This window comes from Homo sapiens, chromosome 9 (genome assembly GCF_000001405.40).
Source record: "Homo sapiens chromosome 9, GRCh38.p14 Primary Assembly".
NCBI lineage: Eukaryota > Metazoa > Chordata > Mammalia > Primates > Hominidae > Homo > Homo sapiens.
This window is the reverse complement of record NC_000009.12, coordinates 67,604,506-67,614,865: the sequence shown is the minus strand read 5'-3', so window position 1 is coordinate 67,614,865 and position 10,360 is coordinate 67,604,506. Positions and strand designations below refer to the sequence as shown.

Below are 10,360 nucleotides of genomic sequence, written 5' to 3'. Positions count from 1 at the left end.
GAAGAATTCATTTTGAGTCTTCTAATCCATGAACATGGTATCTCCATTTGTTTAGACCATCTTTAATGCCTACTAATAACATTTCTGTATAGTGACCTTGCACATTATTCTTAGATTCTTGATATTTTGTGCTATTATGTCTTTTTATAAATTTTATATTTCCAACATTGTTGCTAATATATAGTAAGAAAATGGAATCTTGCCTATGGATTTTGAACCCAACAACTTTGCTAAACTCCTCTGAATCCTCAGAATTTCCCTGTGGATTATGTAGGCTCTTCTGCATACACAACCATATCATCTGTGAATAAAGACAGTTTTGTTTTCTTCTTCACAAACTTTACCCGACTCACTGTGCAGTCTGCCACATCCAGGCTGATATTGAATAGCAGTGGCACTAATAGGATTCTTTGCCCCCTTGCCAATCTTGTAAAGAAAGCTTTCAACATTTTCCTGTTAGCTCTGTTGGCAGCTCTGACTTTTTCCATAGATGGCCTTCATCAGCTTAACAATGGGTCTTTTCTTCCCAGAGGGCTGAGCTTTTCCTTAAGAACAGACAGTGAGTGTCATCAAACACTAGGCTGCATCTGTTGAGATGGTCATACAACTTGTGTCTTTTCCTGTGTTTGTGTGTGAACTCTCTGGGTGTCTGAGAGTTCTTGTGACTTTCACAGAAGAACACAATTTACCCTCCGGTGTGGGAAGGGGAAGGAAGCAGAGGAAGAAAGACCCCAAGTCCCCCTCATCCCCACTGACCTTCCTGCTGGCTTCGTCCTTGATCTGTGCCTCCTTAGATCCTGCGTTTGAGTACTTGCGGTCATGATGACAGGGCCAACCTCCTGACCAGGGCTGTTAGCATCTCCCCTGCTGCCCAGAGTCCCTGCTCCAAACCACTTCCTTCATCTTCTGTACCCCCAGCCAATATTTCCCTGCCCAGTGTCAACCCAGGCCCAGAACCAGACCACAAGGGACAGCCCCGGAACCCAGAATCAGACAAATCAGCCCGTCCCAAGCTGTCTCCCCTGCTCTGCCCGGCTTTCACAGGGAAGCCAACACAGGCTGTGGCTTGGCCTTTCCCTAGCTCCTTTCTGCCTCCTGGTCTGCCTGCGGCTTCCCCCTGCCGCCCTGCGGGGCCTGCCACGTCTCTCATTTCTAGTGAATGTTTCAAGAGCGATGTTAGACTTTCCTTTCAATAGCGTTGACCTCTGTTAGGCACCTTTATGGATTAAGACCTGGGCATAGATGGTTTCTTCGGCATCACGACCTGAAGGTGCTTGGGAGAGACGGTGAGGAGGAGAATGCACCCTGCCATGCTCTGCACCGCACATGGATGCGGATTTCACCATGTTGGCCAGGCTGGTCTGAAACACACGGAGCCCAAGCGCCCGGTGGACCCTCTGACGGTCCTCGGGCGTGTGCCTTTGTAAGCAGAGTATTCAGCTCTCATCAGGGCCTCGCCAGAGCAGAAATGGTCTGTTGATAAATGCATCGTATACAATTATAAATGTGCACCCAGCATTGCTGCTTCCTCTTTTTTTTTTTTGATATAGGGACTTGCTCTGTCGCCCAGGCTGCAGTGCAGTAGGGCAGTCACAGCTCACTGGGGCCTCAACCTCCCAGGCTCAAGCAATCCTTCCGCCTCAGCCTCCTAAGTAGCTGGAACTACACATCCAGCTTTTTTTTTTTTTTTTTTTTTGTAGACACAGGATCTCACCATGTTGGCCAGGCTGGTCTTAAACTCCTGGGCTCAAGTGATCCGCCCACCTTGGGCTCCCAGAGTACTGGCATTACAGGTGGGAGCCACTATGCCTGGCCTGCTTCCTTTTGCAAACAGGAATCTTGTAAATAGAATTGATCAGAACTTGTTGTTTAACGTACACAGACCTCTAGCTGTACTGCAAAGCTGTGTGCACATGTGTTAAGTCATCTGTTCTATGTGTTCTAATTATAAATAAGAAAAAACAAATTTCAATCAGCCATGCTGGAGGAAGAGCAATTATGTTTCTATTCCTTCTATCACAGGTGATGTAAAATTCTCAAACAATGAGATAGATAAAAAGTACGCAGCCAAAAAGTTCAAGAAGAAGTGTTATGGAGATGGAGCAGGCCCTTCGTAAAAACACGATGTTGGTTTTCTGGATTTTGTATGTTTGCTTTTTTTTTTTCCTCATCCTAAATAAATATTCACTGTCATACCTAATTTTGTTTTTGTAAGTTTGTATTCTTTCTTTATAGGGAGGCCTCACAAAACCCGGATCAGACTCGCCCACTGCCCTGTGTCTGCCCTCCCGACCACCTCTCCTGCCCAGCAGGGATGAGGGTGGCAGTGGTGCTGTGTGGAGGGTGGCGGGAGGACCTGGAAGACTGCGACCAGTGAGCCGGGAGGCCTTGGGACAGCCTCTCTCTGAATCATCCTGTGCACTGCCGGGTGTGACAGAGGCTCCTGGAATCCTGCCTCAAGTGGCCGCCTTCACAGAGGGAGTCACTGACGTCCCTGCTCAGCGCAGCCCTGGCATGTGGGGGTCCCTCTACTCATGAGAAACCCCCACCCAATCACCGTGAGGTGTGTGACCCATGCTCACATCCAGGGGCCACTCATTCATTCAGGAAACATTGGCCGAGCCCTCAGCAGGGGGCGGTGCTGGATGCTGGGATGTAGAGAGTGGGGTGGGACAAGGACTTGGTTGTGAGACGTCCCAGTCCGGGGAAGGACTAAGAGAAGGTGACATGGACAGTCTAGACTACCCGTCATTGGTTCTCCACTGGGGGCAGTATTGGCAATGTTTAGGTATAAATTGGTTGTCACAACGAATGCTACCAACGTCTAGTGGGTGGAGGCCGGGGGTGCCGCTCAGCATCCTACCAGGTGTCGGACGGCCCCCACCACCGAGAGTGCCAGCCCCGAGGGCAGCCCAGGGTGCCCCAGTGGTGAGGAGCCCCGGTGTGGAGTGCAGGGTTCGTTTGGACCATGGCTGTAGAGGCCTAGGGGAGCTCCCGCCATCAGGATGGCCAGGCATCAGGGCTCTGTGAGGGGGAAGGGGGCATCAGTGCAGCGGCAGGCAGGGGTTCGACGGGCTGAGTCCTGCGACGTGTTGCATCCACACCAGTGTCTGGGGCCAGCACCACCGCTCAGTCTCTGAACCCACTTATTTCGCCCAATATTGCTTGAGTGGGAAGTTCCACCTTCCCCAGTCGGCTGCTTATCTCGTCTTTCCAATGCAGTTAGGAAGGGAAAATATTTTCTCCCCATTTTACAGATGAAGAAATGGGGCCTGGCGAGGAGCAAAGCCCAGAACTGCTGCCCACCACCCTCCCTGCCTGGTGCTTTCCTGGGAACATGTGGGAGCCCCCACCTGGACCTTGGGACCTCCCATCTGTAATTGCAGGCCCTGGTCTGCCTGTGTGGATGTGGAATGTGTCACTCGGGATCCTGGAGTCCTCCTGAGCTTGTCCAGCAGGGCTGCATTCACTGATGTGCTGACAGAGGCCTAGGCTCGGACCTCTAGGAATATCCAAGGCATCTCATTACGCAGAAAACCACCCTCATGAGGTCCTGGGGGCCTCTCTCCATCTTCCTGGGGGTGATGCAATAGAGTGTAACTTCCACGCTGCCGAGACAGGCCATGAGGGGTTGCCCCCGTTGGAGGGGCAGAGTGGTATTTGTGGGGTGGTAGGAATCATTCAATGCCCAGCTGCAACCCCCCGGGCTCACAGCACACTCTTAAGGCCAGTGCTACCAGCTCCCTTGGGTGGATAGAGGAGCTACAGCTCAGAAGCATGCCCACAGCTCCCCCAGGATCCTGAGGCCAGCCTGTGGCAGGGCCTGTGATTTGAACCCCTCTACGAGGCTTCAAATCAGTGCTGTTTGTCCTGGCCTCATAAAACCTGGCTGCCCAGTTGGGATTGGTGTCATCTGCCTTGCTGAACTGGGCACTCCTTGGGAAGAGGGTGGGTGCTGCGAAAAGGTGGTGGATCCTGGCTGTGCAACCTTCGCAGGTGGCTGAACCTCTCTGTGTCTCAGTTTGCTCATCTGCAAAGGGGGCTGGGATTCCTGCCTACATGCATGTGCTCAAGAGGGAAAGCCAGCCAGGCATGGTGGCTCATGCCTGTAATCCCAGCACTTTGGGAGGCTGAGGTGGGCAGATCACTTGAGGTCAGGAGTTCAAGACCAGCCTGGCCTAAATGGCAAAACCCCATCTCTACTAAAAAAAAAAATAAAAATAAAAAAATTAGCTGGACGTGGTGGCGGGTGCCTGTAATCCCAGCTACTGGGGAGGCTGAGGCAGGAGAATCACTTGAATCCGGGAGGCGAAGGTTGCAATGAGCTGAGATCCCACCATTGCACTCCAGCCTGGGTGACAAGAGTGAAACTCCACCTCAAAATAAATAAATAAATAAATAAATAAATAAATAAATAAATAAATAAAGTAAAAGAGGGAATGCTGAGAGCCGGGCGTGGCCTGTGGCTCTGTAGCTACGCAGGAGGCTGAGTCAGGAGGATTGCTTTAGGCCAGAGATTCCAGGCTGCAGTGAGCTATGATCATGCCTGTGAACAGCCGCTATATTCTAGCCTGGGAAACACAGTGAGACCCTGTCTCTGAAAAAATAAAATATTTAAAAAAGAGTGAATGGTAGGTCAGGTTCTTCTGTGGTGGGGTGGGTCTGGGCAGGGGTGGAGGCCCAGCCAGAGTCACTGGGGTCAGGGAGGGACTGGTGACAAGAATGCACAGCCCTGACCAGGGAAGCACCCAGGGAGCCTTCCCCGTGAAGGGGGGACCTGGCCTCGCCCTGGCCTCACCCCGGCTGTGAGTTGGAACCAGCATGGAGGGAAGCCAGGCCCGGTGCACTCTGCCCAGGGGGATGTAGTTTGGCCAGTGGGGGCTGCCATCAGAGGCTGTCATTACTGTGGGGTCGCTTGTGGACGCTTTCCCTTCCGAAGCCTGGAACCTTGGGTCCCCATGCCCTCCAGCTCTGTGTCTCCTTCGTGGGCACCAGGAAGACACATTCCCTGGCCTCCTTTGCAGTGGCTGGCTGTGGAAGGAGGTGCCTGGGGTCAGGTGGGTGTAGGTGGGTACGTGGCATCACGAGGACATATTTTTGTAGAGGGAATTACATTCTTTCTTCCAATTTTTTATTATTAAAGTTTTCCAATTGAAACCACCCACACCCCAAGCCTGGGGCCGGCCTCCCATCACTGCCTTCTCAGCCCCGGGGAAGGCCTCCTTCTTTCTGCATGGCCTCTGGGCCCATCTGAGCATTCCTCTTCCCTGATGGGAGAAACTCCTGGTGGGAGAGAAGTGGATGTGGGTGTCCAGGCGAGTCTCAAATCCCAATGGCTGACCCGGAATCCTCCCTGCACACCTCTCCTCCTGGTGCCCGGAGGGGGTGCCCACTCTGCTGCCAGGGATTTCCTGAGCAGCTGCTCCAACCACAGCCAGGGAAGAGTCCTTGCAGGAACTCTGCGGGCTGGGCCTGCCCTCCCCAGCCTTGGCATCTTCTTGTTGGTGTCTGAGTTTGAGTCTGTTCTGTGGGCTCTGTGGGAGGTGGGCCCAGATTCTCACCATGCAGGACCCCTCACCCAGAGCCTGAAACCCACTTTGACTAACATGCCTCTGGGTTCCTTCACTGGCCCTGCCCAGTCGCATCCCATGGGAAGAAGGACTGGCTGCTCGGGGTTCTCAGACCCTAGCCTGGGAAAACCAGTCTGAGGGCAGGGATAACCCTTGGCCCTGCCTCTGATTGGGCCCTGAGTTAGGTGGGGTTCTTCCCTGCTGGGGGTCCTGGAGGCATGGGAGGGCTTTGGGGTTCTGTGTGAGAGAGGCCTCAGTCCCTTCAGTTCTCACAGATCCCCCAAGGCTGTGTGTCTGATCCATTGCTTTACATAAGAGAGGAATTGGAGCCAGGCAAAGCCCAGGATTAAAATGGGTGGTGGAGGGGGGAAGCTGTGATTTGAATGTGTCCCTCTAAAAACACGTGTTGGAAACTCAGTCTTCAATGCAACAGTGTTGGGAGGTAGGGCCTAAGGGGAGGTGTTTAGGATGATCCATGGATGATCCATGCAGGTAACAAAAGGCCTCGAGGCTGGGCATGTGTTCTCTCACTCTCTCACACTCTCTTGCCATGTGATGCCTTCTGCCATGTGATGACACAGCAGGAAGGCCCTCGCCAGATGCAGCCCCTCAAACTTGGACTTCCCAGCCTCCAGAATCATGAGCCGAATCATCTTCTATTTTTTATTTTTTATTTTTTTTGAGACAGAGTCTTGCCCCGTCGCCCAGGCTGGAGTGCAGTGGCATGATCTCTGCTCACTGCAAGCTCTGCCTCCTGGGTTCACGCCATTCTCCTGCCTCAGCCTCCCAAAGAGCTGGGATTACAAGTGTCCGCCACCACAACTGGCTAATTTTTGTGTTTTTAGTAGAGACGGGATTTCACCATGTTGGCCAGGCTGGTCTCGAACTCCTGACCTCAAGTGCTCCACACACCTTGGCCTCCCAAAGTGCTGGGATTACAGGCATGAGCCACCACACCCGGCCTTTTTTGTCTTCTTATAAGGAGGTGAGTTGTATTGAATCAGGGCCCACTCCAATCAGGTGTGACTGCGTCTTCACTTGATTATATCTGCAAAGGCCCTATTTCCAAAAAGGTTGCATTCATAGGTACCAGGAGTTGAGGCTTTAACATATCTTTTAAAATTTTTATTATTTTTTTGAGACAGAGTCTTGCTCTGTCGCGCAGGCTGGAGTGCAGTGGCGGGATCTCGGCTCACTGCAACCTCCACCTCCTGGGTTCAAGAAATTCTCTTGCCTCAGCCTCCCGAGTAGCTAGAATTACAGGCGCCCCCACCCACCACACCATGCCCGGCTAATTTTTGTATTTTTATTAGAGCTAGGGTTTCACCATGTTGGCCAGGCTGGTCTCGAACTCCTGATCTCAAGTGATCCACCTGCCTCAGTTTCCCAAAGTGTAACATACCTTTTTGGGGGACAGAATTCTACCCACAAATTCTAGATAAGGAGGCATTGCTTCTTTTTTCTTCTGGTATTGAATGTCACTTTGGAGATGTCTGATGTCAAGTTGGTTTTCTTTGCTTTATAAGATACTTGGTCTTTCTGTCTGGCTGCCTAAAGGATTATTTCTTTATCTTTAAAGTCCAGTGATTTTACAAAGGCATGTTTTGTGTTGACTGTTCTGGGCCAACACACACAAGTATACAGCATGCGCTTTTACAGGCAGGCGCAAGTCTGCCTGCATTTCAATAAAGAGGTCTTGAATGATAGTTTCAATCCTTGTTCAGCAGGTGCTGTGGTGCACACCTGTGGTCCCAGCTACTCAGGAGGCCAGAAGTTCAAGCCCAGCCTGGGCAACGCTAGCTTATATGAGATCACCTCTCACATAAATCAAGCAGTCAATACTTGTTCCGATCTGTTAGAGTTTTGCCTATCATATATGTACACTGGAGCCCCTTTACTGTTTTTTTTTTTTGTTTTTTTTGTTTTTTTTTTTTTTTGAGACAGAGTCTCGCTCTGTTGCCAGGCTGGAGTGTAATGGCACAATCTCAGCTCACTGCAACCTCTGCCTCCTGGGTTCAAGGGATAGTCCTGCCTCAGCCTACCGAGTAGCTGGGATTACAGGCACACATCACCATGCCCGGCTAATTTTTGTATTTTTAGTAGAGACGGGGTTTCACCATCTTGGCAAGGCTGGTCTTGAACTCCTGACCTTGTGATCCAACTGTCTTGCCTCCCAAAGAGCTGGGATTACAGGCGGGAGCAACCGCGCCCGGCCCTTTACTGGTCTTTTATAGTCACTTTCTCTCTAATCCTTTTTAATCTCTTTCCTCTTTCTTTCTATTTGCTCACTTTTTCCTTTTTTTATGTGATTTCCGTGGTGTCTGTGCTCTCGTATTACCTGTAACTTCATTTCTTCATTTCTGAAATGGTTTTCTCTTTTTCTTCAGTTTCCTTCCTGAATTCTGTCATTTCCCACCACAGACTCCGCTGCCGTTTGGCCACCTCTTCCCTGTGTTCTTATTCTGTGCTTATTCTCCTCTGTTCTTATTCTGTGCTGTAGTATCCCTTCGGAGCTGAAGTTCTTGTTGGAATATTAGATCATGATTTTCATCTGGTTTGTGGCAGTATTTGTCTGATGAGATTTCTTCATTTGTAGGAAAATAGCACTGCTTTTATTTTTTATTTTTATTTTTTAAGACTGCAGCTTGCTCTGTGACCCAGGCTGGAGTGCGGTTGCACAATCGTAACTCACTAGAGCCTTGACCTACAGCCTGCACTCGAGCGATTCTGCTCTGCCTCTGGAGCAGCTGGGGACTACAGGTGTGTGCCACCATGCCTGCCTGGGTTTCTTTTTTTATTTTTTTGAGAGAGGGTCTCCCTCTGTCACCCAGGCTGGAGTGCAGTGGCGCAATCTCAGCTCACTGCAATTTCTACCTCCTGGGCTCAAGCGATTCTCCCATCTCAGCCTTCTGAATAGCTGGGACTACAGGTGCACACTATTGTGCCTGGGAATTTCTTCATTTTTTTTTTTTTTTTTTTTTTGTAGAGACAAGGTTTCACAATGTTGTCCAGGCTGGTCTCGAACTGCTGGGCTCAAGTGATCTGCCCACCTCGGTCTCCCAAAGTATTGGGACTATAGGCGTAAGCCACCATGCCTGGCCTTTTTTTTTTTTTTTAAGTTAGGCACTTAGGTCTCCTTATGTTGGCCAGGCTGATCTTAAACTCCTGGCCTCACTCAATCCTCCCGCCTCTGTCTTTCCCACAAAGTGCTGGTGTTACTGGAAAAGGGGGAGCTCTGATCCAGACCCCAAGAGAGGTCTCTTTGATCTCATGCGAGAAAGAATTTGGAGCGAGTTCACAGAGTAAAGTGAGAGCAAGTTTATCAGGAAAGTAAAGGGATGAAGAGGAACTGAGGTCTCCTCCCCTCCCTTTTGAGACCTTATAAGGTAACCTCCAGACATTGCCATGGCATCTGTAAACTGTCATGGTGCTGGTGGGGGTGTCTTTTAGCAGCAAATACATTCTAATTGGCATATAATGATCCGTGAGGACAATCAGAGGTCACTCTCGTGGCCGCCTTGGTTTTGGTGGGCTTTGGCCGGCTTCTTTACTGCAACCTGCTTTATCAGCAAGGTCTTCATGACCTGTATCTTGTGCCGACCTCCTATCTCATCCTGTGACTTAGAATGCCTAAACTCCTGGGAATGCAGCCCGGCAGGTCTCAGCCTCATTTTACCCAGCTCCTGTTCAAGATGGAGTTGCTCTGGTTCCAACGCCTCTGGCATTGGGATTTCAGGCGTGAGCCACTGTGCCTGGCCAGCATTGCTTTTGGAAGTGGAGAGCATGCCCATTTTTGTTACTCGTTTATTTGAATAGGATGGCTGTTCCGGCCAGAAGGTGCTGGGCCACGGCTCCTGGGAGGACCATGTGCTGCCCTGTTGGATACCTCAGCACCACTGGCTCCTGTTGGCAGCTGAGCCGGCCCACCTTGAGGTCCTGTGCATGGGTTACAGCTGGTGGTGTGTGGGTGCACAGTGATGGCGGGCCTCTGAGAGCTGGGGCGGGCCAGTGCGGCCTGACTCTGCCTGTAGGAAGCTCTAGAACAGGTCATGCTGATCTGCAATGAAAAGTCGCCTCTGGAGGGGGTGCAGTGGGGACTGATGAGCACATATCTCGGGGGTGGTCAGGTTCTTATCTTGGTGGAGTCTGCCTTTGTCAACTCCCTGAGTGACACCCTTGAGATCTGTATAGCTTGCTGGGTTGAACTGTGACCCCCAAATTCATATGTTGAAGTCTTGACCCCTGTATCTCAGAATATGCCAGGGCAGAGTCAGCAAAAAGAGGAAAGTCTCCAGCCGGTTCCCCAGCTCTGAGCCTGTACCTGCCTTGGGGCCAGGAGAGGCTGAGGTGTGGGAGAAATGCGTATTTGGGTTCCTCTGCCAGAGCATGGTCCTCCGTGGAGTCGGCCTCCTGCAGAGGGGAGCAGCAGGTGCTGTTGCATGCTACCGTCTCCCCTAAGCCTCTCAGGGTCTCCTTAGGAACAGGGTGCATGTTCCCTCCCAGGTGCAGCTCACCCCTACCTCTGCCCCCCACATCTCCCTCCCCCCGCCCCAGGCAGCCCCCAAGACTTTCCTTGCCCTGAACTCCCATCTGCCTCCCCGGTCTGTCCTCTGTCCCTGGCTGCTCGGGTCAGCCTGGCCTCCGGTTCTCTCCCTTTCTGTCCCTTTTGCACCCTGGCTCCCTCTCTAGGCTGCGGTGCAGTGAGGACGCTGCCCAGGGCTGGAGGCTGGTGGGAGGTTGGGTGTGATGTAAGGCTGTGTTGCCGGCTGTTCTGGGGATGCTGACAACAT

General features: G+C 51.5%; 1 annotated feature.

Annotated features, from left to right (window-relative positions):
- Positions 948-1,627: an enhancer, noted in NCBI's record as "H3K4me1 hESC enhancer chr9:67680685-67681364 (GRCh37/hg19 assembly coordinates)". NCBI's record gives its function as "activates a minimal SCP1, AML or CMV promoter by ChIP-STARR-seq in primed H9 embryonic stem cells {active_cell/tissue: H9 hESC(primed)}" and the evidence as "EXISTENCE:reporter gene assay evidence [ECO:0000049][PMID:30033119]".